Source organism: Homo sapiens, chromosome 20 (assembly GCF_000001405.40).
Source record: "Homo sapiens chromosome 20, GRCh38.p14 Primary Assembly".
Lineage (NCBI taxonomy): Eukaryota > Metazoa > Chordata > Mammalia > Primates > Hominidae > Homo > Homo sapiens.
In genome coordinates, this window is record NC_000020.11 from 32,008,521 (window position 1) to 32,035,648 (window position 27,128).

The 27,128-nt window shown below is 49.6% G+C and overlaps 1 protein-coding gene across 5 annotated transcripts, besides 7 other annotated features; it reads left to right on the forward strand.

Moving 5' to 3' along the window:
• Positions 1,740–2,267: an enhancer, noted in NCBI's record as "H3K27ac-H3K4me1 hESC enhancer chr20:30598063-30598590 (GRCh37/hg19 assembly coordinates)". NCBI's record gives its function as "activates a minimal SCP1, AML or CMV promoter by ChIP-STARR-seq in naive H9 embryonic stem cells {active_cell/tissue: H9 hESC(naive)}" and the evidence as "EXISTENCE:reporter gene assay evidence [ECO:0000049][PMID:30033119]".
• On the forward strand, positions 1,918–23,660 carry CCM2L (CCM2 like scaffold protein). Of its 5 annotated transcripts, XM_011528568.4 has the most exons (11): positions 1,918–1,964; positions 5,412–5,561; positions 6,384–6,551; positions 9,280–9,363; positions 9,459–9,642; positions 10,423–10,889; positions 14,140–14,275; positions 17,336–17,399; positions 20,475–20,604; positions 21,180–21,318; positions 22,403–23,660. In XM_011528568.4, exons 2-11 carry the CDS (start codon positions 5,556–5,558, stop codon positions 22,792–22,794), a joined length of 1,770 nt encoding a protein of 589 aa, XP_011526870.1. In that variant the 5' UTR covers positions 1,918–1,964; positions 5,412–5,555; the 3' UTR covers positions 22,795–23,660. The 5 variants fall into 5 exon arrangements, with proteins under 5 accessions (XP_011526870.1, XP_011526868.1, NP_001352621.1 ...); XM_011528566.3 differs by lacking the exon at positions 5,412–5,561; NM_001365692.1 differs by lacking the exon at positions 5,412–5,561 and having other exon boundaries at positions 22,481–23,660.
• Positions 3,178–3,769: an enhancer, noted in NCBI's record as "H3K4me1 hESC enhancer chr20:30599501-30600092 (GRCh37/hg19 assembly coordinates)". NCBI's record gives its function as "activates a minimal SCP1, AML or CMV promoter by ChIP-STARR-seq in naive H9 embryonic stem cells {active_cell/tissue: H9 hESC(naive)}" and the evidence as "EXISTENCE:reporter gene assay evidence [ECO:0000049][PMID:30033119]".
• Positions 10,240–10,369: a silencer, noted in NCBI's record as "silent region_12771". NCBI's record gives its function as "represses an Ori minimal core promoter by ATAC-STARR-seq in GM12878 lymphoblastoid cells {active_cell/tissue: GM12878}" and the evidence as "EXISTENCE:reporter gene assay evidence [ECO:0000049][PMID:35858748]".
• Positions 15,464–15,965: an enhancer, noted in NCBI's record as "NANOG hESC enhancer chr20:30611787-30612288 (GRCh37/hg19 assembly coordinates)". NCBI's record gives its function as "activates a minimal SCP1, AML or CMV promoter by ChIP-STARR-seq in naive H9 embryonic stem cells {active_cell/tissue: H9 hESC(naive)}" and the evidence as "EXISTENCE:reporter gene assay evidence [ECO:0000049][PMID:30033119]".
• Positions 22,691–23,218: an enhancer, noted in NCBI's record as "H3K27ac-H3K4me1 hESC enhancer chr20:30619014-30619541 (GRCh37/hg19 assembly coordinates)". NCBI's record gives its function as "activates a minimal SCP1, AML or CMV promoter by ChIP-STARR-seq in naive H9 embryonic stem cells {active_cell/tissue: H9 hESC(naive)}" and the evidence as "EXISTENCE:reporter gene assay evidence [ECO:0000049][PMID:30033119]".
• Positions 22,880–22,929: a silencer, noted in NCBI's record as "silent region_12772". NCBI's record gives its function as "represses an Ori minimal core promoter by ATAC-STARR-seq in GM12878 lymphoblastoid cells {active_cell/tissue: GM12878}" and the evidence as "EXISTENCE:reporter gene assay evidence [ECO:0000049][PMID:35858748]".
• Positions 26,633–26,812: an enhancer, noted in NCBI's record as "active region_17705". NCBI's record gives its function as "activates an Ori minimal core promoter by ATAC-STARR-seq in GM12878 lymphoblastoid cells {active_cell/tissue: GM12878}" and the evidence as "EXISTENCE:reporter gene assay evidence [ECO:0000049][PMID:35858748]".

Genomic DNA, 27,128 nt, shown 5'->3' on the forward strand with positions numbered 1-27,128 from the left:
CCAGAACCCAGGTGTCTTGGCAAGGTGTGGATGGGCCACACAGAACCTTTCCATCTGTCCTGGGTGGGGCATGCAGAATGCATAGGTCCTAGAGGTAAGGAACGCTAGGCTCAGATCCAGACCAGCCAGAAATCCCAGGTCCTCCTCTTACTCACTGTGTGACCTCCTTGAACCAGGCTCTGAACTTCAGCCTCAGTTTCAAAAATCTGTATAATAGGTACTATCATGGTACTCAACACTGTGAGTAAGTTAAAATATGTAAAGTGTTCAGCACAGAGCCACAAAGGGGACCTTGCCTCCCTAATATACTCCCAAGAGAGCAAAACAGCTCAAGACCCTATGAACATGGTCAGAATAAAAATGGAGTCACTAATGTTAAGAAAACCTTGACAAATAGAGCTGGGGAAGGCCATAGAGGGTTTTCATGCTTGCATAACAAATAAGACTGATAACAAAACAGATAACAACAAGACTGATAACAAAAAAGACTACAAAAATCACAACCTTGCACAAAGGCCATTGAAACCTTGCACAAAAAATACTTCCGCAAGGACATCTGCCCAGCAACTGCCTGTCCAACTTTAGACTGGCATCACCCTTGCTATTGATCTTTGCAATCAAGAATAATTATTTCAGAAACAATAATGTAATCCTTATTTTTTTCCTTTAAAAATCTTTGTCTTCCCCCCACCTCCCTGAAAATGCACATCGCTTACTATGGCATATGGGTAATTCCCACTGCAATGCTTAATTCCTAAGTGAAACATCTTTTATTTTAGAGAGCCTCTGTTTGTTCTTTAATTTGACAACCACTAAGCAGGTAAACAGTTAATGTTTACTGAGCACTTATTTTTTTTCAGTTTTTTTTTTTTTTTTTTTTTTTTTTGAGATGGAGTCTCAGCCAGTCACCAAGGCTGGAGTGTAATGGCTGGATCTCAGCTCACTGCAACCTCCACCACCCAGGTTCAAGCGCTTCTCCTGCCTCAGCCTCCAGAGTAGCTGGGATTACAGGCATGTGCCACCGCACCCGGCTGATTTTTGTATTTTTAGTAGAGACAAGGTTTCACCATGTTGGCGAGGCTGGTCTCGAACTCCTCACCTCAGGTGATCTGCCTGCCTCAGCCTCTCAAAGTGCTGGGATTACAGGTGTGAGCCACCACGCCCAGCCTTACTGAGTACTTAATATGTGCCAGAAGTTCTTCTAGGTGCATTTAATCCCCGCAAGGTCACTATGAGGTTAAACTAGTATTATGCTCATTTTAAAGACGGGAAAACTGAGGCACTGGTGGTTAAGGGACTTCCCAAAGGTCATAACCCTAGTAAGTGCCAAAGCCAGGATTCGAATTCAAGCAGCCTATCTTCAAAGCCCACGCATACTGCCTCCCTTAATAGTAATGATTAATTTTTTAAAATCATAACTTGCTTGGCTACAATACTCTCTATAAGGCACTTTCCATCCACCTTTTCATTTCTCACCACAGCAGCCTAGGGAGGGAGGCAGTGTTGACTCCCAACTTATAGAGAGGAGGGGGAAACAGGCTGTGACAGGGGGAACTGACTTGCCTTGCCAAGGTCACACAACAAGGTCAGTGGCAGAAGTAGGGCTGGAACTTGGAATTTTCCAAACCAGGACTTCAAATGTGGGGGGCCCTTTCCCAGCCTTGGCCAATTCCCAAGCTCCCCCAATAACCCGCCTTCTGGCTAGAGGCCTTGAGCCTCCCTCCTCAGGTCAGCTCTGCCTGGGCTTCCACCCTTCAGCTGCAGGGTCCCAAGGCTGTGTCCTCCACACCCCCTGCCCTCCCCATCAGATGGGAGGGGCAGGAACTCCAGGGCTGGTGGAGTTTCCGACCAGGCAGGAAAAAGAACAAAGGAACTGGATGTGGGGGTGGAAGGGATGGCCAGGAGGGTGGCAGGAGTAGAGGGGACATTTCACCATGGAATATGAAGTCAAGAAAGGGAAGAAGGTAGGTGGGAGGTTGGGAGGGACGAAGGGAGAGGAATGTCCCCAAAGCTGGGGAAGGGGGCAAACTGGGGCGGGGTGGGGGGTCGGTAGCGAGGGGCATAAGTGGAGCCTTTCTTCTCATTTGGAAGTAACTTCCTTCCCACTCTTGGACAGCCAGACAGTCAGGCTCTAAACTCCCTGTTTCTCCACTCTCAGTGGCCTCTGGCATCCCTAACGTGGACAGACAGGGACCTTCTCAGGAAACCTGGCCAGACGGACTCAGTTTGGGAGATTCTCCACACCTGCTTCCCTGGTGTTCCCCGCAGCTCCCTCCTGCAGCCTCTCAGACAGACGGACAGACAGACACCCAGCAGATCCATTCTCCTGCTCGTCACTGCCCCAAACAGAAGGACTCAGCCAGGGCAATTCCGATAGGATGTTGCCTACACAGGCTTGAGTCTCCCACCTGCCCCCTGCCCCTCCCACCTTTCTACAAGGGCGTATGTAAGGCGTCAGCCAGAAGCCATTCCCCTCACCCCTTCTGACTCTGAAGTTTTCTAGTATGCTTCTCTGGGTGTCTCACCTGGTTGTCTTTGGAGTTCAGGGAGGCGCTCTGATTTTAACTTCCATCTTACCCCCATTTCCACCCTCCCCTCTACCCCACCCCCACCAGAAACATATGTCCGGGCTGTTCTAAAAGGTGCCCACATGAATCACAGAGGGCTCAGAAGGGAGCCAAGACATACGTGCATGTTTTCTCTTAGTTTGTTCTTTTAATAGACATTTATTGAGTGCCTATTATGCACCAGGTATTTCTTTTTTTAAAGCAATAAATAAGTTAATGTAAAATTGCATAGAAGGGCCGGGTGCAGTGGCTCACACCTGTAATTCTAGCACTTTGGGAGGCCGAGGCGGGTGGATCACCTGAGGTCAGGGGTTCGAGACCAGCCAGGCCAACATGGCGAAACCCTGTCTCTACTAAAAATACAAAAATTAACTGGGCATGGTGGCACATGCCTGTAATCCCAGCTACTAAGGAGGCTGAAGCTTGAACCTAGGAGGCAGAGGTTGCAGTGAGCCAAGATCGCGCCACTGCACTCCAGCCTGGGTGACAGAGTGAGACTCTGTCTAAAATAAATAAATAAATACATAAATAAAAATTTTTTAAAAATCATAGGAGGTCCCATACTCAGTGCTGGAGGAAACTGATCAGTTTGAGTCGAGAACTGACGGGTGGAAGGAAAGTGGGTAGGGAAGAGTGTTTGAGGCAGAGGAACAGCATGTGCAAAACCCCACAGTGGGAAGTCACATAGCAAGCCAGAGGGACTGAAGGAGGACTGTGTAGTGGGGGCCCAGGGGACAAGAATGAGGCAGATGGGGCTGGACAGGTGGGCAGAGCTGAGCCATTCAGGGCCACCAACAAAAATACTTACCCCTCCCCACCCCTAATACACACACATACGCAAGACAAAGTCCCAGCTCCATAGCCGGCATTCAAGATATGTTCGTCTCATAATCTAGCCACGGCAGACTGACTGCACACAGCTTCTCCAGGCTCACCCTCATCCAGCCTTTGAGGCATCCAGAATTTTGCACATGCTGTGCCCTCTGCTTGGCATGCTTTCTCCCAGATAGTTTCTTCTCATTCCTTAAAGTTGCTACATACCCCATCCTGGCTCCATGATATGGGTTCTAACATAAGCTGAGTACCCATAAGAATCACCTGAGGGCTCATTAAAACACAGATCACTGGGTCTTACCCCCAGTTTCTGGGCCAATAGGCCTGGGATGGGGTTCAAGAAATTGCATTTCTGGCCAGGCACAGTGACTCACGCCTGTAATCGCAACACTTTGGGAGGCTGAGGCAGGAGGATTGCATGAGCCTAGGAGTTCAAGACCAGACTGGGCAACATAGTAAGACCCCATCTCTTTAAAAAATATATATTAGCTAGGTGTGGTGGTGGTGCATGCCTGTGGTCCTAGCTACTGTGAGGCAGAGGTGGGAGGATCGCTGAGTCAGAAAGAATTTGCAATTCTAATAACCCACAGGTTATGCTGATGGCTGTGGGGCCACACTTTGAGAACCACCGGTTTAGATCCTGGCTACTCAAAGCGTGGTGCACAGACCAGTAGTATCAGCACCAGATGGGAGCTTGGTAGAAATGCACAGTCTCAAGCTCCAACCCAACTGTACTGAATCAAAACTCCAGGGCAGATAAAGTTGGAAACTCACTAGTCTAGGTCATTTATCACAAGCCCTGGAGGCAAGGATAGGATCCAGGTCTCCACTGAATCCTCAGCACCCAGCAGAGTCCAGCCATACAGGTGTAAATGTTTACTGAATGAATGAGTAAATGAACAGATGTATTTGTGGACTTGTGTTCTGTTTACCTGGAAAGAACGTGAGCTCCTTGCAGGCAGGGAGGTTGTCTTACTCACATTTGCCTTGTTACACAGTTAAGTAATCACACCACACATTCACTCAGTGGTTTTCAGCTGAGCTGCCTTTTGAAATTACCTAAGAAGGCTTAAAAAAATCTTAATGGACCGAGCTCATTAACCCCAATGGCTCACACCTGTAATCCCAGCACTTTGGGAGGCCAAGGCAGGAGAATCATTTGAGCTCAGGAGTTCAAGCCAGCCCAGGCAACGCAGTGAGACCTCATCTCTACTAAAAATTTAAAAAATTAGCAGGGCATGGTAGCACACACCTGTAGTCCCAATTACTTGGAAGGCTGAGGCAGAGGGATCGCTTGAACCTAAGAGATCAAGGCTGCAGTGAGCTATGATTGTGCCACTGCACTTCAATCTGGGCAACAGAGCAACATCCTATCTCAAAAAAATTAAAAAATAAAAAATTTTATGCCTGGGTCTCAGTCCCAGAATTTCTTATTCAGTTGGTTGGGAGTGTAACCTGAACATCTGAAGTTTTAAAAGCTCCCCCCGTAGTTCGTGTGTGTGTGGAGTGGGGGGGTGGGGGTTGTTTGTTTTGTTCCTTCGACAAGGTCTTACTCTGTCACCCAGGCTGGAGTACGGTGTTGCAATCGCAGCTCACAGCAGCCTCGACCTCCCAGGCTCAGGTGATCCTCCCACCTTGGCCTCCCAAGTAGCTGGGATTACAGGTACATACCACCACACCCGGCTAATTTTTTTTTTTTGGCATATTTTTTGTAGAGACAGTTTCACCATGTTGTCAAGGCTGGTCTCAAACTCCTGGGCTCCAGCTCTCCTCCTGCCTCAGCCTCCCAAAGTGCTAGGATTACAGGCGTAAACCACCACGCCTGGCCTTCCCCAGGTAGTACTAAAGGATAGCCAGGGCTGGGAGCGACTGCTCTAAATGCAGTCTCACACTTGAGCATGTATCAGAAGCACCTGGTGGGCTTGTTAAGCCCTAATTGCTGGGCCCTACTCCCAGAGTTTCTAATTTAGTGGGTCTGGGATGGGGCCTGATAATCTGCATTTCTCTCAGTTCCTAGGTGGTGCTGCTGGTCCAGGAATCTCATGTTGAGAAATGCTGTTCTAGATGGAACTCAAACTTTCTTTTGAGATTCAGATGGCTGGTCTGGGCTGAGCCCCAGAATTTACACCTTTAACCTTGATCCAGGCCATTTTTATGCAGGTGCCTCTGGATTCTACTTAAATGTACTTATTAATAATTTATAACTTTTAGGAAAGCACAGAGAATAGCCTAAGAAATAGCTATGCACCCACCACCACTCCACCACATTGAATCCTAATCTATATTATATATATTTATGTATATGATTTATATATATGTGTGTACATATATATATATATATTTTTTTTTTTTTTTTGAGACAGAGTCTTGTTCTGTTGCCCAGGCTGGAGTGCAATGGCTCCATCTTGGCTCACTGCAACCTCTGCCTCTGCCTCCTGGGTTCAAGTGATTCTCCTGACTCAGCCTCCCGAGTAGCTGGGATTACAGGCTCCTGGCACAACGCCTGACAAATTTTTGTAATTTTAGTAGAGTCAGGGTTTCACCATGTTGGCCAGGCTAGTCTCCAACTCCTGACCTCAAGTGATCCACCCGCCTTGGCCTCCCAAAGTGCTGGGATTACAGGTATGAGCCACCACGCCTGGCCTTGAATCCTAACATTTTTCTGTATTTGCCCCAGCCTAGACTCATTCCTCAAACCTGTTTGGCAGGAGCTACACTGTCACCTGGGTGTTTAGAAAGAAGGTCGTTGGATCCAGAATGCCCAAGGTGAACTACTGGTTCCACCACTACTAGCTGGTGACTTTATCAGTTAGTTCCTCTCTAGGGTTTACTTTCTCCATCTGTAAAATGGGACTTACAGAGGTACCCCTTCTGCAGAGTTTTGGTGAGAATTAAATTAGGTAATGTAAGTAAAAGTGAGCATAGTAAGAGTTCAATAAAAGCAGCCACTGTTATCACTCTCATTCCTCCTCTCCTCCCCAGGGCTTTGTATCCCCCATCCGAAGGCTGGTGTTCCCCAAGGCCGGGCGCCGGGCAGCCTGTAGGAGCAGCGTGAGCCGCCGGCCCCTGCACTCGATGCCCCTTTATCCCCCCGACTACCTCATCGACCCCCAGATTCTGCTGTGTGACTACCTGGAGAAAGAGGTCAAGGTGCGTGCAGGATGAGAAGGGGTGGGAAAACCTTGGGGTGAGGAGACCTTCACTTCTCCTTGACACCAAGTTCTGATCAGCCGTATCTCACACAGGGGAAGTTGTGGCTCATTGGAAAGAGGCCTGGGTTCATGTCAGCCTTGCCCCCACCTTCAGCAAGTGACCTCCATCTGCTGAGCCTCCTCAGTGTTCCCATCTCAACATGAGGCTCAAAACCTACCCCCAGTGGAGAGTGGATGGGAGAGTGTTCTGTGCGTGGAAAAGTCCTATCTTTTGTCAACTGACATAACAGAAAGGGAGACTCACTAAAAGAAAATGATGTTTACTCAGGAATAGGCATTGCAATGGGAATATGCGTGCCATAGTAAACTGTGTATTCAGGAGGTAAAGGAAGGCAAAGGTTTTTAAAGGAAAAGTGAGGAGGATTACATAATTGTTTTGAGATAATTATACCTGGCTGCAAGGATCAATAACAAGGATGGCACCATTTCCAAGTTGGATGAGCAGTTGCTGTCCTTGCAGGAATATGTGTGTGTGTGTAAGGTTGTGATGGCCTTTGTGCAAAGTTGTAGTTTTTACAGTCTTTTTGATAGTTCTTGTTATCAGGCGTTCATGCATGAGAATCCTCCCTCCTATTTGTCAGGGCTTTTAACACAAGTGACTCCATTCTGATTGACAACTTTGACATTTCCCATGAGATTTTACTGCAGTGACCTTGCTGTTACTCGGACAGCGTCCAGATTAACAGCAAAACACAAAGGACTTCCACCACTTAGGAGCTGTACTTCTTTTTTTTTTTTTTTGAGACAGAGTCTCATTCTGTCTCCCAGGCTGGAGTGCAGTGGCACGATCTTGGCTCACTGTAACCTCCGCCTCCCGGGCTCAAACAATTCTCCTGCCTCAGCCTCCTTAATAGCTGGGACTACCGGCACGCACCACCACACGCAGCTAATTTTTTTGTATTTTTAATGGAGCTGGGGTTTCACTATGTTGGTCAGGCTGGTCTCAAACCCCTGACCTCAGGTGATCCGCCCACCTTGGCCTCCCAAAGTGCTGGGATTACAGGTGTGAGCCACCACACCTGGCATGAACACCATGAAGAGGAAATGATGGATCTTCATTTAGCCTAAAAAGATTGATATGGGGGTAGGGTTGTCTGAACTGGCAAACAATAAGCCACCTAGTAAAATCTGAATTTCAGATAAGCAATGAATACTTTCTTAGCATAATTATGTCCCAAATATTGCAAGGGACTAAAAATACTAAACAACTTAAAAATTATTGTTGATCAACGGCCAGGCACGGTGGCTCACACCTGTAATCCCAGCACTTTAGGAGGCCGAGGCGGGTGAATCACGAGATCAGGAGTTCAAGACCAGCCTGGCCATCTTTTAGTAGAGATGGTGAAACCCGTCTCTACTAAAAATACAAAAAATTAGCTGGGTGTGGTGGTGGGTGCCTGTAATCCCAGCTACTGGGGAGGCTGAGGCAGGACAATCGCTTGAACCTGGGAGGCAGAGGCTGCGGTGAGCCGAGCTCACACTGCTGCACTCCAGCCCGGGCGACAGTGCGAGACTCCAGCCCCCCCACGCCCGCCAAAAATTGTTGTTTTCAAGTTCAAATTTAACTGGCATCCTATATTTTATCTGGCAACCCTATATGGAGGGAAAAACTAACAAATAAATCTGCTTAAAAATTGAGGGCTGAAATTTGATAAAGAATAAAAAGAAGAGAAAATGTTTGATTGGTGGATTCACCTAGAGGAATAGAACTAAAAATAATTTTTTAAAAGTTGGCCAGGCATGGTGGCTCACACCTGTAATCCCAGCACTTTGGGAGGCTGAGGCAGGCTGATTACTTGAGGTCAGGAGTTTGAGGGCAGCCTGGCCAACATGGTGAAACCCCGTCTCTACTAAAAATACAAAAATTAGCTGGACGTGGTGGCACGTGCCTGTAATCCCAGCTACTCAGGAGGCTGAGGCAGGAGAATCGCTTGAACCCGGGAGGCAGAGCTTGCAGTGAGCTGATATCTTGCCATTGAACCCCAGCCTGAGTGACACTGAGACTATCTCAAAAAAAAGTTAACTATTATATTGAGTAACATTTAAGTGCTAACATTAGGATATAAGAGTAAAGGAAAAATTTGTTGATTTAGTGCATCATTTTTCCTGACAAAATGGTATACTAATTTGATCCAACATTCTTCCCTTTCCATTTGACTTCTGCAACAAGACCATAAGGAAGGCAAGTGATTTGCAATTCCTTTGACAATGATGCTTGGGGTAGAGAGAGCCACTCAGGCCAGAGGAAATTTACAGGTGGTCAGTTCTTTCAAGCTGTTATAATAACTTTTGCTTCCCTATGGAATCTTATAGCTAGATGACTATGTGTTAAGGCAATATAAGCCAGCAGTTGAGAGTGTGGGCTCTGGCATGTGGATCCCAGTTTGATCCTCTCTAGCTATCTAATCCTGGGCAAGTTCTTTAGTTAGCCACACCCTGCCTTGGTTTTTCTCATCCTTAAAGCAAGGGTGAATGAGTGAATATATAGAGAGCGCTCAGAACTTTGCCTAGCTTCTATTAAGGGCTCAGTAAAAGTTATTATCAGGTATATTAATTCATGTATTTCTATCTCAATCTATCCGCACTGCATCAATGAGAAGGCCAGGGTTCTTCAAGGTTTCAGGGTGACATCTCTGTGTCCTTCTCTCACCCCGATTTCCATCCAGTTCCTGGGCCACCTTACCTGGGTGACTTCCTCACTGAACCCCTCCAGTCGGGACGAGCTCCTGCAGCTGCTAGACACCGCCAGGGTGAGACTCTGGGGAGGGAGGAGGGCAGGATCTCGCTCCCTTCTCCCTCTTCTACCTGCGGACCTCGGGAACTCGAGATCTGCCCCTCCCTGCAGCAGCTGAAGGAGCTGCCGCTGAAGACCACGGCGGAGCAGGACAGCATCCTGAGCCTGTCTGCCCGCTGCCTGCTGCTCACCTGGCGCGACAATGAAGAGCTCATTCTGCGAATCCCTACGCACGAGATCGCCGCCGCCTCCTACCTGCAGGACGACGCGCTGCACCTGCTAGTGCTCAAGACCGGTGCGGCGGGAGGGGGCGGGGGCGGGGGAGGGGCGGGGGCGGGGGCGGGGGAGGGGCGGGGGCGGGGGCGGGGCAGGGGCAGGGGCAGGGGCCGGAGGTGTGCGGATGGAGAAGGAGAGGGACCTGCGGCGGGGGCAGAGGAGATGGAAAAGGTCTGACCATACTACCCTGAGACTAGGGGCAGGCCGAAGAGGCTCTGGGAAAGCAGACAGGGCCTGAGGTTGAGGATGAAGGTGGGTGGCCTGAGCCACTACACTGAGGCCAGGTGGTGGAGCACTAAGAGGGTGGAGAAGCCCAAGACCTAGGCCAGGGCTGGATCCGCAGTTACCACCCGGCTCTGAGGCTAGAGTGGACCCTTGGGCTGGGGGCGGGGCCTGATTCCAGGGGCGGGGCTGAGGAGAGGCGGGAAGTCAGAATCCAAGGGGGCGGTCCCTGAAACCCGGGACTGGGTCCCCAGTTAAGGCTCCCTTGGGAGGGGACAGCCTGACCACCACCCTCTGTTCAGAGGGCAGGTCTGAGGCCAGGGGCGCAGGCGTCGTGGGGAGCGTGGAAGCCACCTGGCCAGACCACCGAGAGGCCAGGGGTGGAGACTGAGGCCGGGGGCGGGCCCGAAAGTGTGGAAGCGGAGTGGGCGGGGAACCGCCGCGCTACTTTAAAGCCGGGGGCGAGGCGGCGGTGGAACCCCAGAGCCGCGAGGTCAGGTGGCCAGCCGGCCTCGGCGGGGCGGGGGGGTCTCTGAGTCCCGATCCCCGCGGCTGACGGTCCCCCGGACTCTCCTAGGTCTGGGTGTGGACCCGGTGCCGGCCGGCGTGGATGCCAGCCCAGGCGGCGCAGGACGCGACCCCGGCCCGCCAGGCGGGGCGCCCGAGAAGCGGCGGGTGGGCACCGCGGAGCGGCGCCACACCATCTGCAGCCTGGACTGGCGGATGGGGTGGGGTGGGGGCGCCGCGGAGGCCCGGGCCGGGGGAGGCGGCGGCGGCAGCTTGGAGCGCCAGCGCGCCGGGGCGCGGGCGTCGGGCAGCTGGGAGCGACGGCAGACGTTCAGCGGCAGCTGGGAGCGGCGGCACGGAGGCGGCGGCGGCGGCGGCGGCGCGGGAAAGCCGGGCGGTAGCTGGGAGCGGAGGCAGGCGGGCAGCGGCGGGGGAGGCAGCTGGGAGCGGCGCCACCCCGGCCCCAACCCGCTCGACCCGCAGGACCCCAGCCCCGACGCCTACTGCAACCTGGTCATCCTGGCTGTAGCCAACAGGGTGAGCCCGAGGGCAGCCTGCTCCCAAAGCCCGGCTTCGGGAACGCTGCTTCCCCGCCCCCACCTTGCCCCCGCCCCACCCACCAGGTTCCTAGGATCTGCCCCTGCCTTCTCCCTGCACCTGCCCCACCTAATGGCTCCTAAACTCCGGACCTGGACACCTCCAGGGCATCTCCCCTTGACTCCCTCAATGGGATGAACTCTCAAAATGGCCAAAACAAACTAGATCTAACCTCCAGCCCGTTCCTTCTCCAACGTTGTCAGTGTTGGCCCCACCACAGTAACATTCACGAGGACACTAATCACCAGCGTGAATCTAGGGCCAGCTCATGCCAGACACAGGGCTGCATCAACTCATTTAATTCTCACAGCAACCTCTGGAGGCAAATATTACAACTACTGTATTCCCATTCTATAGAAAAGGAAACCGAGATCCATAGGTGAAGTAACATAGGCAAGGTCACACAGGAAGCACGTGGTGGTTTTAAGATTCAAATCCAGTAAGTTCAGAGCCAGTACTCTTGGTAACTAAGATGGCCACCCAAGAGAGAAGCCTTCCTGCCATTCTTCCTTCCCCCTCCGTCTTCCCCTCTGCCTCCCCCATCCTCTTCATTCACCCTTGCTTTTATTCACCCGACCATGTTTCTTGAGTGCCAGCTCTGGGCTAGGCAATGGGCTAGGTGCTATGGATACAGACGTGAAAAAGACATCTGGTGTCCACCCTTAGGGAGCTCACAGGCGAGCAGACACCTTCAAGTTCTGAGCATTCTAAGCTTTTCCTCTGATCTTGGACCACCAGATCCCTCCGTATAAAAACAGTGGTGAATGAAACAGACATAGTTCCTGTCTAGATGGTGAGGCAGATAATAACCAGTAAACTCAGACACCACAGCTGTCTCTCTCCCCTTGAAACACTTCCTCACTTGGCTTCCAGCTCTCCACCTTTTCCAGGCTTTTCTCCTACCAAGCTGGTTCCTCCTCTTCTTCAGAAGTTGGAGTGCCCCAGACTTTGTCCTTGATCTTCTTCTCTCCTCCATCTATCCTTCATCTACCCATTTCTAGGTGATCTGCATCTGAAGATCTAACGACTGTTTCAAACCCAACACATCCAAAACTGAGCTCCAACCTCCTCCCCCAAAACCTGCCACTCCCTTGGTTTCCCTGTCACAATTAATAGCAGCTGTGTCCTTACATTGGTCAGGCCAAAACCTTGCTGTGGGCCTTGGCTGGCTCTCACGCTCTCTCTTTCTCACACACACCCCATATCCACTCTGTCAATAAATCCTGTTGGCTCTTATTTTTAAAACATAACCAAGCCTGTAATCCCAGCACTTTGGGAGGCTGAGGCGGGTGGATCACCTGAGTTGAGGAGTTAAGACCAGCCTGGCCAACATGGTGAAACCCGTCTCTACGAAAAATACAAAAATTAGCCAGGCATAGCGGCGGGTGCCTGTAATCTCAGCTACTTGGGAGGCTGAAGCACGAGAATCCCTTGAACCCAGGAGGTAGACCGCACCACTGCACTCCAGCCTGAGCAATAGAGCAAGACTCCGTCTCAAAACAAAACAAAAAAACATCAAAATCCATTTACTTCTCCCCACCCTCCCCCTGTACCCACCCAGGTCCATGCCCCATTTTCTCTCACCTGAATCATGTGGTCATCCTCTGACTGGTTCAGCCCTTGCTGACAGTCTCTTTCCCCACACAGTCAGAGTGGTCCCGTTAACATGAAAGCCACATCATGTCACTACTCCACATCTTCCAGTGGCTTCCCATTTCACTCCAAGTAAAAGCTAACATCCTTACAATTGCTTACAAGGCCATTTGTACTCCAGCCACCATGCCCACTTCCTCTGTGGCTGGAAATAGGATTCCAGACAAAGCTAACAGTCATCCCACTGGACTGTGAGGGCTTTGCGGTACTGAACCTGGCCCAGTGTCGGCCACATAATAGGACTAAGTTGGAATTTGTGGAGTGAGTAAATAAGTGTAATCCCAACACTTTGGGAGGCTGAGGCAGGGAGATCACTAGAGCCCAGGAGTTCCAGACCAGCCTGGGCAACATGGCAAAACACCGTCTCTACTAAAAATACAAAAAATTATCTGGGCGTGGTGGTGTGTGCCTGTCATGCAGCTACTCAGGAGGCTGAGGTGGGAGGATCACCTGAGCTCAGGAGGTTGAGGCTGCAGTGAGCCATGATTGTGCCACTGGGCGACCGGAGTGTGACTCTATCTCAAAAAAAAAAAGTTGCTTTCCAGGGTTGTCTGAGCATCTGGCTTCTTATCTGAGTCATCCTGGTCCTAAGAAGGATATAGGAGTTAGAGTAAAAAACAACCTGGGTGCTGGTACTAATGCCATGAACCTGCTGTGTGAGCCTAGGCAAGGCACTTAACCACTCTAAGTCTCAGCATCTTTGTCTGTCCATTTTGTAGGTCTATGGTAAGGATCACCTGGTTTAATTATTAGGACACACCTACTATCCCCAAATGCCTATCCTGGGTTACGTTTTAATTTATTCTTTGGGCTTTTTTATTTTTATTTTTTGTATCCAACCATCCATTGTCTTGGGCCTTTTTACAGACACAACATAGAGAAAAGGTTCATGAAGACAGTGTCTTCATCAATTACTGGTTTTCTGTGTGTCTTGCTTAAGGCATAAAGAGGTAAATTCAAGAACTAAATACCTATTCACATTTGTAGTCTCAAAAAAGTTTTACCCAAGAACTTAAACTCCTTCCTTCTATCAGAGATTGAATTTTATTTATCCTGTTTCCATTTTCACACTGAATGCTAGGAAGCTCATATCTAAATATGGCTTCCAGTATTAGTAACTATATTGAGCCTAAAATTTTGATACATTTAATCATCCCTTCTCCTACTAGGTGTTAGGAGAACTGGATTCTAATCCTGACTAATCACTTCCCCTCACTGGGCCTCCGTTTCCATATCTATACATTAAACTAAATTAGGACTTATCTTAGAAGGGCATCAGGAAGGCTGATGAATCCTCCACAAATCTGGGGTACATTTTTCATGGCACAAGAGTTAGAGTTGTCACTGAATTCTATAAAGGGGTTCTAAGATCCAGAGAGTAGCCATCGAATTTTGATGGAAAAATTCTTGAAAGCCAATTTAAAGGGCTCTATAGGTGTGTATCTTTGTGCGCATCTTCACACACTGTTTTAGGAAGCAGGGTAACATCTTGGTCATTGGTGAGGACCTGAGCTCTCTCTCCTCCTCCCTGGGCCAGGACGCTGCAGAGGAGTCCTGCGCACTCATCTGTCAGGTCTTCCAGATCATCTACGGGGACCAGAGTATTGAGTGTGTGGACCGGGCTGGCTACCACTACACATCCACACCTGAACGGCCATGGCTCTGCAGCCGCAGTGAGTACCAGAACTCCTGGCCTCCCCTCCTGTGAAACATCCCAAAAAGGCCAGGGGAGGGAAGATGTCCCAGGACTTGGGCTGATGAAGGTATTTAGGGCTCCTGATCTCTGCCATAATTACAGTGTACCCCACAATTGTAGGTGAAATGTCAATTTTCTTTTTCTTTTTCTTTTCTTTTTTCTTTTTTGAGACAGAGTCTCCCTCTGTTCCCCAGGCTGGAGTACAGTGATGCCATCTCGGCTCACTGCAACCTCCACCTCCTGGGTTCAAGCAATTCTCTGCCTCAGTCTCCCGAGTAGCTGGGATTACAGGCATGTGCCACCACACCCAGCTAATTTTTTTTTTGTATTTTTATTAGAGACGGGGTTTCACCGTCTTGACCAGGCTGGTCTTGAACTCCTGACCTCATGATCCACCCGCCTCAGCCTCCCAAAGTGCCGGGATTACAGGCGTGAGCCACTGCACCCAGCCATCAGTTTTCATGATGATCTCAAACTTAGCTTCTTCAAAGATGTTTGGATTGTCAAATTCAGAACAAGCCCCCTAGAGCTGAACTCTTCTCTCTCCCTTTTGTTTTTGTGTCCCTATATTGCAGCAACCTAAGCACATGTATTGTCTGCTTACTGAGCCATTGGTCCCACTAGGACCCTAACACAAAACCAAGATTTCCAGATGGGTGCTTGGATGCACTCAAGGACTAGAAGGAGAATGAGACTAATAGAGACATTTGTTGAGCACCAGTTGTGTGCCAAGCACCGTACCAATGTGCCATGTCCTCATAGCAACCTTGCCTGTCCTCTTTGTCACTGTATCCCCTGTGCCTAGCACGAGACTGGGTACATCAGATACTCATGAAGTATTTTTCTGAATGGATGAAAGAACTCTCTGAGGCCTTAGGATTCCCATTTTTTCGTTTGGTTGGTTTTTGTTGTTGTTGTTGTTTGTTTGTTTGAGACGGAGTCTCACTCTGTCGCCTGAGCTGGAGTGCAGTGGCACGATCTCGGCTCATTGCAACCTCTGCCTCCCGGTTCAAGTGATTCTCCTGCTTCAGCCTCCTGAGTAGCTGGGACTACAGGCATGCGCCACTACGCCCAGCTAATTTTTGTATTTTTAGTAGAGACGGGGTTTCACCATGTTAGTTGGCCAGTGTGGTCTTGATCTCTTGACCTCGTGATCTGCCTGCCTCAGCCTCCCAAAGTGCTGGGATTACAGGTATGAGCCACCGCGCCTGGCCACGATTCCAGTTTTACAGATGAGGACATTAAGGCTCAGATTAGTCAATAAATTACTCAAGGTCACACAGCTGGTAAGTGGCAGAGTCAGGATTCAAATCCAGGTCTGTCTGATTCTGAAGCTTCTATCAGCAACAACCTTATTCCCCATGCTGCCTTCAGGCCAGTGGGTGAATTCCCCAGCCATTGTCTCCCACAGCATGGTACCAGCAGCAGAGTGCTCGTTCTTTTCTTCAGAAGACCCTCGCATCTGTGGGAGCTGTGCTTGTTGGGAGGCTGGGTTAGTTCAACTCTCACAAGGATGATAGGCAAATAAATGAGATAATTCAACAAATATTTCAACAAATTCATTCATTTAGCAAATATTTATTGAGCACCTAGTGGGTCAGATCCAGTGCTAATCAGTAGGTTATTCTGGTGAGCAAAACCAGAGGTGGCCTGTCTTCATGAAGTTTACTTAGTGGAGGCAGGCTGACAGTGATTAAATAAGTACACAAATAAATACACAACCACAGGTTGGGCACAGTGGCTCACACCTGTAATCCCAGCACTTTGGGAGGCCAAGGCAGGTGGATCACCTGAGGTCAGGAGTTCGAGACTAGCCTGGCCAACATGGTGAAAACCCATCTCTACTAAAAATACAAAAATTAGCTGGGCATGGTAGCAGGCACCTGTAATCCCAACTACTCGGGAGGCTGAGGCAGGAGAATCACTCGAACCTGGGAGGTGGAGGTTGTAGTGAGCAGAGATCACACCACTGCACTCCAGCCTGGGCGACAACAGCGAAACTCTGCCTCAAAATAAATAAATAACCACAGACTGTGCTGGGAGAATGTATAATGAGGAACTGGCCCCACCTGGAGGGTAAGGAAGCAACACTGATCAGAGATCAGAAATGGTAGGGCTAATAACCAGCTAAATGAGACAACAGGACTAGGAAGAGCGCAAGCTCTCCGTACTTGGTGTTTCTTTGCTCTGAAGGTTTTCAGATCCTTCCCCTTCACAAGTTTCTTCCTCTCTTTCTTCTTCTTTCTTTCTTTCTTTCTTTCTTTCTCTCTTTCTTTTCTTTTCTTTTCCTTCCCCTTCCCCTTTCTTTCTTTCTTTTCTTTTCCTTCCCCTTCCCCTTTCTTTCTTTCTTTCCTTTCTTTTTTCCTTTCCTTTCCTCTTTTTCTTTCTTTCTTTTTTCCTTTCCTTTCCTTTCCTCTTTCTTTCTTTCTTTTTCTTTTCTTTTCTTTTTCTTTTCTTTTATTTATTTTTTTTCAGGGTCTGGCTCTGTCACCCAGCCTGGACTGTAGTGGTACAATCACGGCTCTCTGCAGCCTCGACCTCCCAGGCCCAAGCAGTCCTTCTATGTCAGCCTCTCAAGTAGCCGGGACCACAGGCATGCACCACCGCACCCAGCTAATTTTTTTGTTATTGTAGAAATAAGGTCGCTCTATGTTGTCCAGGCTGGTCTTGAAGCCTGGGCTCAAGCAGTCCTCCTGCCTTGGCCTCCCAAAGTGCTGGGATTACAGGCGTGAGCCACAAATTTTTTTTTCTTTTTTTTTGTCTTGCCTGAAACACACAGTTTACAAAATATTCCCTCACATGTTTCCTCATCTGCTGTTCCCAAGGCTCCTATGAGGTAGGTGGGGGGTGGTATTGTCCCCACATCGGGGAAGTTGAGGATCAGGAGAGGGGAGGGGAGTTCCCCAGGGTCTGTTGTGTGTTGGTGTCAGAGGCAGGACTAGACTTCAGGCTGAGACTGAGGGTGGGGCCTCAGGGAGCAGGGGATGCTGATCCCTGCTTTGCTGCCTCTGACAGTCCCTCTGTCTGCTGGTCCCAGGTGAGAGCTGCCACACAGATGGGACGTATGCCTATGATGCCGACTTCAGCTGCTGCAGCTCCTTGTGAGTACAGCCCCTGTCAGGGACTCCACCCTGCTCCCCTACCCCTGCACAAACAGGGTGACTAGAGAGGGTAGGAGAAGGTGACCCAACCTTGATGTGTGCTGAGACACTGGGCACTAAGAGGGGGAGGTAAACTGAGCTCCCTGACTCTGGAAACCCACAGGATCCAGACCCTTGAGAGACCCAGGAGACACCAGAACTCAGATGTGGGTCCACACAGTCCTGTGGTTCTCTCCCAGTCATCCAGGCACAGTGGTCTGCAGAAACCAAAATCATAGCTACATGCCAAAAAAATTATCTTGGCTTAATTTTGGTTCCATGTAATAGAAAATCCCCAAAAAGAGTATCTTAAGCAAGATAGAACTTTTTTTTCTTATATTTGACATAAAATAGAGCAGCAATTCAACATTTCATGGTTGTTAGGAGCTCAGGCTTCTCTTTTCCTTCCCTACCCTCTTCAGGACTTGCAGCCATCCTCAAGGTCACCTCATGGACCGAGATGGTGGTTGTAGCTCCAGCCATCACAGTAGCATGCTAAGGGGCCTCTTTAAAGAGTTTTGCCAGATTCCCACCTGATGACTTCTGCTTATATCTCATAGGCCAGAACTTGGTCACATAGCCATCACTAGCTGCAAGCAAAGCTGGAAAATTTAGGATTAAAAAAATATATTTCAGGCTAGATGCGGTGGCTCGCACCTGTAATCCCAACAGTTTGGGAGGCTGAGGCAGGTGGATCGCTTGAGCCTGGGAGTTCCAAACCATCCTGGGCAACATGGCGAAACCCCATCTCCACCAAAAATACAAAAATTAGCCAGGTATGGTGGCGCACACCTGTGGTCCCAGCTACTTGGGAGGCTGAGGCAGGAGAATGGCGTGAACCCAGGAGGCGGAGCTTACAGTGAGCTGAGATTGCGCCACTGCACTCCAGCCTGGGCGACAGAGCGAGACTCTATCTCAAAAAAAAAAAAAAAGAAAAATTCAGGCCAGTCATGGTGGCTCACGCCTGTAATCCCAACACTTTGGGAGGGCAACGCAGGAGGATCACTTGAGCCCACAAGTTTGAGACCAGTCTGGGCAACATAGGGAGACCCTGTCTCTATTGAAATAAATAAATAAACAAATAAATAAATAAAATTTTAAACAATTCAGTTGGGAACATTACCCAGGGTTCTGTTTAGGGTGACCAGCCATCCCAGTTTGCTCAGGAATGAGGGGTTCCCCCGGATATGGGATTTTCAGTGCTAAAACCAAGAAAGTCCTGGGTTACTGGTTGATCACCTAGTTATATTACTAAGGGCTTCAGTTTGGCATGTAGCAGTCTCTGCCAGTGATATATGTCTTATTGTTTCTTTCCTTTTTAGTGGCAATAGATTTGCCTTCCTCATACTGTATGCCCTTAGGCTAGTCTTTAAACAACCAGATATCTACTGAAGAGATAAAATAGTGATAATAGCGTTTGAACATTGAACTTGCTATGTACTAAGTGCTGTTCTATAAAGCACTTTATTTTTTCATCAACATAGTAACATTACAGCAGCTACTGTTTATTGCTTATAGCCCATAATTCTAAGTGTTCTACAAATATTAACTCCTCTAATTCTCATGATGACACTAATTATTATTATCCCATTATACAGATGGAAAAATTGAGAAATAGAGAAATTAAGTTTAGTTTTCCCAAGGTCAAGCACCTAGTAAGTTGTAAGTATGGGATTTGAACAGAAGAAGGCTGGCTCCAGAATCCAGTCCTTTAACCACAAAGCTACACGGCTTCTTTGTAGGTAATAATGGAGGATGGTTCTGGAACAATTTAGAGACAAGGAGGCAGGAGCCTAAGGTTGAGTTTTTATTAAGCAATATTTCTTGAGTACCTCCTATGTGCCAGGCACTCTGCTGTGTGCTGGGGATACAGATGGACACAAGACAGAGGGCAAAACCTGGGCCTGGCACATAGTAGGTGTTCAACAAATGAAGAAAACCAAAGTCCCTGCTCTTGTCAAGTTTACAGTCTAGGATAGGAGGCAATGAAATCGCAATTTAACAGTAACAATCATTAATGGTAATAAGTACTAAAGGGAGGCTCAGGGTGCTATAAGAGAGGCAGAGGGGGACCGCAACTCAGCTGGAGAGTCAGGAGGGCCTCTCAGAGGTGATGGCACATGAACTGAGGCTTGGAGGATGAAAGGGGGAAGAGTGTTCCAGGTAGAGGGAACAGCAAATGTAAGAATCCTGAACTAACCAGGCGTGGTGGCTCACGCCTGTAATCCCAGCATTTTGGGAGGCTGAGGTGGGCAGATTGCTTGAGGTGAGGCATTTGAGAGCAGCCTGGACAAACATGGTGAAACCCTGTCTCTACTAAAAATACAAAAATTGGCTGGGTGGCACATGCTTGTAGTCCCAGCTACTCAGGAGGCTGAGGCATGAAAATTGCTTGAACCCGGGAGGCGGAGGCTGCAGTGAGCCAAGACCGCACCACTGCACTCCAGCCTCAGTGACAGAGCAAGAATCTGTCTCAAAAAAAAAAAAAAAAAATTTTGAACAGGATAGAGCTTAGTGGGTTTGAGGGGCAGCAGGTGGCCACTGTGGCTGTGGCAAATGGTGTGAGGGAGAGAGTGGTCAGAGAGGATGCTTGGGGGTACCTGGAAAGGCCATGCATGTCACAGGTAGGCCATGGACTGAGGGAGCATGTTCGACAGAGGTTCTAACCCAACCTAGGGGAATTAGGGAACACTCTCCTGAGGAGATGACATTTAAGATCACGGGATGAGTAAGAGTTAGCTGTGCAAAAGGGAGGGGAAAGGAGGCAATCCAGGCAGAGGGACCAGCAGGTGCAAACACCCAGAGGTGAGGAGATAGTAGAGGAAGAAGGAGAAGGGGGGTGGGGGGCGCGAAGCACAAAGAGCAAAGGCAAAGGCAAGCACAGTGACAGATGAGACTTGAGAGGTGCCAGGGGCCAGGGTATGCGAGGCCTTGGAGGCCAGCATGCAGTCTAGGATGAGGCCTCCTACCTTCAGCCTGCCTGAGGGCCAGGAGCTGGAGGGAGGCGAGTGAAGGCCCTTCTTCCCGTGCCTGCAGTAATGGCTCCCAGGACACCTTTGAAGCATGTTACAGCGGCACGTCCACACCTTCTTTCCATGGCTCCCACTGCAGCGGCAGCGACCACAGCAGTCTGGGCTTGGAGCAGTTACAGGATTACATGGTCACGGTGAGCTGGGGCCGGTGGTGGGAATGGCACAAGCAAAAGCCTGGAGGCTGGAGTAAACATTTTGGGAATGGCACATTGCCCTGGACATAACCTAAGCAGAAGACATCAGAGGTCAGAGCAGGAAATGAGGTTAGGAGAGTAAACTGAGGCCAGCTTGTGAAAGGCCTTAACTAATGTCAGCTGGCATTAATTGAGTGCCTGCTGTATACCAGGCACCATTCTAAGCACCTTTCATGCATTATTTCTTTTAATCTTTTCAACAACCCCAAGAAGAAAATACCATCATTATCCTCACTTTGCAGATGAGAAAAGCAAGCATCATGGAGGTTGTCACCTACCCAAGATCACAGAGCTGATCCAGTGAAGGGGTCAAGATTTGCACTCAGGCAGCTTGAGTCCACATCCTATTCTTAAATGCAGCCTAAGGGATCTAGATGTCCTCTGAATAGCCCATGGGAAGGTTTTCAGAGGAGAGCTGGACCAAACATGCCCTTAGGGAAGGCTCTGGGCCTTTCAGGCAGGGGTTGGGTGGCGCTGCTTCCTGGGATTGATCTCGAATGGTGTCCCCCACATAGTTGCGGAGTAAGCTGGGGCCCCTCGAGATCCAGCAGTTTGCGATGCTGCTGCGGGAGTACCGGCTGGGGCTGCCCATCCAGGACTATTGCACAGGCCTGCTGAAGCTCTACGGAGACCGGCGCAAGTTCCTCCTCCTTGGTGAGCCCCCGCTGTACCCCCAGAGGTCAGCTAGGGCCCCTGCTTGGTCCATGCCATCCCAGTCAGGCACCAGGCTGCAAATGTTTTCTCCTTATCTTTCAGCCTCTGATGAAACCCAGATCATGAGATTCACAGGGCAGATGAGGAGCCCAAAGTGCAGAGTAGGGAAAGGACTTGTCAGAGCTGGGAGACACTGTTGATAAGAAGAACTAAGCAGTGGTGTGGCCATTTCATCCTCACAGCAAAGCTGCGAGAGGGACTGATTCTTCCCATCTTACCCCACACGGAAGCTGAGGCTCAGAAAGGCTAAGGAACATGTCCAAGGTCACACAGCTAGTAAGGAGGGCTAATAATAACAGGAGGAATAATACGAATAAGCTGACATGTGCTTGGCAGTTACCCTGTGCCAAGCATCATCTCATTAAATGCCCCCAGTTCTGAGAAGTAGATACTATTAATGGTCCCCATTTTGCAGGTGAGGAAACTGAGACTCAGAGTTACAAAGTAAAGGACTGAGGTCACATAGCTAGTAAGTAGGAATGGAAATAAAACAAACTGTTTACAGAGTGCTCAGTATGTGCTGAGTACCTTGTTATTTAATCCTCACATCCCTACCCAGAGAACAGGTGCAATTATCTGTTTTACAGGTGAGGAAAATGAGGTTCAACATAATTAATCAATGGGAATATAATGATGGTACTAATAATAACAAAAATAGGCCTGGCGAGGTGGCTCACACCTGTAATCCCAGCACTTTGGGAGGCTGAAGCTGGCGGATCACCTGAGGTCAGGAGTTCAAGACCAGCCTGGCCAACATGAAACCCTGTCTCTACTAAAAATACAAAAATTAGCAGGGCGTGGTGGTGTGCGCCTGTAATCCCAGCTACTTGGGAGGCTGAGGCATGAGAATCTCTTGAACCCGGGAGGCAGAGGCTATAATAATAATAATAAAAGTACAGTAATCTAGTATGTAGTGAGCATTCACTGTGTGCTGAGCGCTGTGTCGTTATTCGCTGGCTCAGACAGTTAAGGACCTTGGGCAAGGCCACACAGCCAGTGAGTGACAGCAGGGATTTGCACCCAGATCTGCAGAGAGGACGCTTCCCCTGTGGAAGGGAAAGGGAACGTGTCCTGGGGACTCACCATGCCCCTCGGCTCGCAGGGATGCGGCCCTTCATCCCGGACCAGGACATCGGCTACTTCGAGGGCTTCCTGGAGGGCGTGGGCATCCGCGAGGGCGGCATCCTCACTGACAGCTTCGGCCGCATCAAGCGCAGCATGAGCTCCACGTCGGCCTCCGCAGTGCGCAGCTACGATGGCGCGGCGCAGCGGCCCGAGGCACAGGCCTTCCACCGGCTGCTGGCTGACATCACGCACGACATCGAGGCGCTGGCCCCCGATGACGACGACGACGACGAGGATGAGCCCCGGGGCTCCAGGGGCGGGAGCGACGCCGCAGAAGACAACTACCTGTAGCCACCGCCCCTGCGGACGGCGTGGCTCAGCAGCCCACCTCTGAGTCTCAGCTTTGCTTCGGGGACCCTATCCCCAGGGCCCCCCCATCACACCTGGCGGGGCCGGGGGGTCTTCACTCCAGGGTCTCGCTCCCTGCCCTTGGGGCCCGGGGCCATGCAGTACCTGGAGTGTCCTGCAGGGGGAAAGCGAAGCCGGGCCCTGAAGTCCGGGGCAGTCACCCGGGGCTCCTGGGCCGCTCTGCCGGGCTGGGGCTGAGCAGCGATCCTGCTTTGTCCCAGAAGTCCAGAGGGATCAGCCCCAGAACACACCCTCCTCCCCGGGACGCCGCAGCTTTCTGGAGGCTGAGGAAGGCATGAAGAGTGGGCTCCACCTGCTGGCCGACTGAGAAAAGAATTTCCAGAACTCGGTCCTATTTTACAGATTGAGAAACTATGGTTCAAGAAGAGAGGACGGGGCTTGAGGGAATCTCCTGATTCTCCTTATATGACCTCAAACTGACCATACTAAACAGTGTAGAAGGTCTTTTTAAGGCTCTAAATGTCAGGGTCTCCCATCCCCTGATGCCTGACTTGTACAGTCAGTGTGGAGTAGACGGTTTCCTCCACCCAGGGTTGACTCAGGGGGATGATCTGGGTCCCATTCTGGTCTTAAGACCCCAAACAAGGGTTTTTTCAGCTCCAGGATCTGGAGCCTCTATCTGGTTAGTGTCGTAACCTCTGTGTGCCTCCCGTTACCCCATCTGTCCAGTGAGCTCAGCCCCCATCCACCTAACAGGGTGGCCACAGGGATTACTGAGGGTTAAGACCTTAGAACTGGGTCTAGCACCCGATAAGAGCTCAATAAATGTTGTTCCTTTCCACATCAAACATTTTATGACTCAGTTTACCTTTCTTGCCTTGTAATAAGCAAAAGATGTCTGGGTGCATCCTACCCCAACTGAAGTGGTGGTGAGCTATTCAGAAGATCCTCAGGGGAGTTCACTGTTTGGGAAGAAGAAACAGTACTTGTTCCCTTGCAGCCTTGTTACAGCCTAGCTCTGTGCTCAAGTCACAAACAAGAAATAGCCAAGACTCCACAGGCAGCTATCTGGGAGTCTGGGGTAGTCAAAGAAATGGGAAGGAAAGGTTGGAGAGGTAGAGAAGTCAGGATAAGGACAGCATTCAGCACAGCCTGAGTAAAGGCTGGAAAGCTAAAAGGGATGAGGCCTGAGAGGAGGCCAGAGACTCACATAGGAGATCCAAAATGTGTTTGTAAAACCTTGCAAAGGCTTCCATGGCCAGACACATTGTACACACCATAAAATAGGCACTGTTAGCAATTTTCAAAAAAATGTTATTAGGACTCCAGGTCCAAAGAGTTCCATAATTCATACTTGGTTTGTGGTAAATGATCATCCCATCATCACTGGTCCATGTAGGGCCCTTCTGATGTTTTATTTTACCCTCTCCTGATCCACATGTTCCCCACACTCCTTTTCCCTCTTTACTATGAGCGCCTAACCCTATGTGCTGATATATGTCCCTGGACCTAAACTACACAGTGCTTTGTGTGTGTGTTTGTATAAATGATATTACATAAGAATTTCACTCTATTCCTTCTCTCACTCTGTAATGTTTTTCTATTTAAAAAGAAAACTAAGAAAATTTTTAGAGACAGGTTTTTGCTCTGTCACCCAGGCTGGACTGCAATGGTGCAGTGACAGCTCACTGCAAGAACTCCTGGGCTTAAGTGATCCTCCTGCCTCGCCCTCCCAAAGTGCTGGGATTAAAGGCATGAACCACCAAGCCCAGCCACCCTATAATGTTTTAAATACCTACATATGTGCTGTTGAAAAATCTCACTGTTGCATCCAACTGCTGCAAAATATTTCGAGTTGAGCATCCGCTGTTTTCTTTATCCATCTCCCCAGAGATGAACACCCAGGTTGCTTCCAACTCCCTCTTACCACAAACAACACTGTGATTGATGAACATTTTTGTACATGAAACTTATGGGCCTATGTGAGCATTTCTTTGGGCTCTAAATCCAAGAGTGGAATTACTAGATCACAGGGCAGGTTTTGAATTTCATTAACTTCTTCCAGAATGGCTTTCACCAACGGTGAGTGAAGGATGCTGTTTCCCGACATCTTCATCAGATTTTTCATCATCTGATTTTGTAACTTTGCATTCAGTGTGGGTGTAAGGTGGCAAGTTGTTTTAATTTGCATTTCTCTGTTAATCCTGAAATTTATAACTTCCTTCTATACTAGTCAGCCATTTGAGCTTTCCTTTCTGTGACTTCCTTGTTCATATCTTTTGTTCATTTCCTACTGGGCTTCCTGTCTTTTTCTCATTGATTTGCAAGAGTAGTTTATAAATTTTAGATATTAATCCCTTTTGGATGTTGATGTTCCAGGTATATTCACCTAATATATTTGCCTTCTGTCAAGTTTATCTGTGACAGTACTCAAACTTCAGCAGGCATCAGAATGTCCTGGAAGGCTTGCTAAAACACAGATGTCTGAGCCCCACTCCTAGAGATTCTCCATAAGAGAAGGGGAAGGGCCTGAAAATTTGCTTTTTCTTTTTTGGGGGGACAGAGTCTTGCTCTGTCACCCAGGCTGGTGTGCAGTGACGCAATCTCAGCTCACTGCAACCTCTGTGCCTCAGCCTGCTGAGTAGCTGGGATTACAGGCATGCGCCACCATGCCTGTCTAATTTTTGTATTTTTAGTAGAGATTGGGTTTCACCATGTTGGCCAGGCTGGTCTCAAACTCCTGACCTCAGGTATCTGCCCTCCTCGGCCATCCAAAGTGCTGGGATTACAGGCATGAGCCATCGTGCCTGGCCAATAATTTGCATTTCTAACAAGTACCCAGGTGATGCTGATGGTCCAGGGACCGCTCTGAGAACAACTGATTTGTGATGGCTTCCATTGGGCAAACTTGTTCTATTGAGCAAATTCCTTAATTTTGAGGTTGTCGATTTTATTTATTTTCATTTTCTGGATGAAGGAACTGGAGTTCAAGAGGTGAAGTGAATACCCCAAGGTCACACAGTGAGCTGGGCTTTGGACTCATGTCTGGCTAACCCAGAGCCCATGTCCCTAGCCTCTCTACTGTCCTGTCTCTGAGACTTTGGGATGTAGTGGCCGTAGCCTGAGGCATTCCGACCTGAGGCTACAGGGAGCCTTAGTAAGTTCCTGAGCAAGGCAGCCGGAGAGGGAACAGTTGGTTGGGTAGGGACAGGGGCCAAAGATATAGGAGTCTCTCTTAAAGGCCTTGGGGCTTTCCAAGAAAAGCTCAAAAACTGCCGAAAATCCTAGCCACAGCACAGTGACAGGGCTGCTGAGAGGCACTGGGACAGACAGTTCTTACCCCACAGCTCCAGGGATGGGGTAATTTCCCTCACACCCCAAGGAAGTCCCCACCCGCTCCGGAACTACCCTCTTACCAAAGCCATGTAACCCCTTAGTTCCTGGGGTCCAAAGGGCACTGTCTGGGGCAACCCAGGCACTGAGTCTGGAGACTCTGGCCACACTTCCTCCTGTAGCATCCAGAGACCCTGCCAGGAATTGCTTCCCTTGTTGGTTCAGTTCCTGACATCACAAGAGGGGAAAACCCCCTAGGGGTGGGATAGCTGGTTCCCAAGGACTTCTAGGGGTAGTGCAAGTATGGAACTTCCCCACCAGCTGGATCCCCTGGGGACGGTCTTGGCCCAAACGTGAGTGGTAAAATTGTCTCCAGCTGCCGTAGATGGACGCCTCTCCCAAGGTGGGGCCCTGAAACTTCCTACCCACTCCCCACTTCCACTGGCAGCTCCCAGCAGTCCTTCCCAACTATGTGCTCAGGAGCAGGAGTCCTGGGGCCACTGTCATTCAGCCGCCAAGCATTTAGAGGGCACTTGCTCTGTGCCAGGCATTGCACAAGACACTAGAGGGAGATACAGCACAGTCTGCCCACTGAGGGGCACACTGATGGGGAAAACAGTTCCCAGATAATCATAGCACAAAGTTCTCAATTGTAAAGTCAAAGAGTGAGACACCAGCTCTTTCTGGGGAAGCTGGAAAAGGTTTCACAGGGGAGGTGAGCCATGAGCGAGAGCTTGAAGGACAAGGTTTTTGGTGGGTGAACAATAGAAGAGAGAGCCCTCCAGATGGGGACCCAGCACAAGCAAAGGCAGGGGAGCTTGAAGGAGCATGGCGTGCTCTAGGACTGGCAACCGGTTAGCACTCGTGCAGCACTTAGGCTCCCTGGCCAGAGGGTCGGAGGGTTTTTAATCCGAGCTCTGCCATCTGCTTGTTCGGTGACCTTGGGAAAGCCCCTAAAATGTCCCTGGGTCTTGGTTTCCTCA

Bases quoted from the DNA above. Each gene is read 5' to 3' on its own strand.
- CCM2L (XM_011528566.3), top strand. From the start codon at position 1,935: ATGGAATATGAAGTCAAGAAAGGGAAGAAG. The intron at 9,643-10,422 runs GTGCGGCGGGAG...GGACTCTCCTAG, and splicing joins CCTGCTAGTGCTCAAGACCG to GTCTGGGTGTGGACCCGGTG. The intron at 17,400-20,474 runs GTGAGTACAGCC...CCGTGCCTGCAG, and splicing joins TTCAGCTGCTGCAGCTCCTT to TAATGGCTCCCAGGACACCT.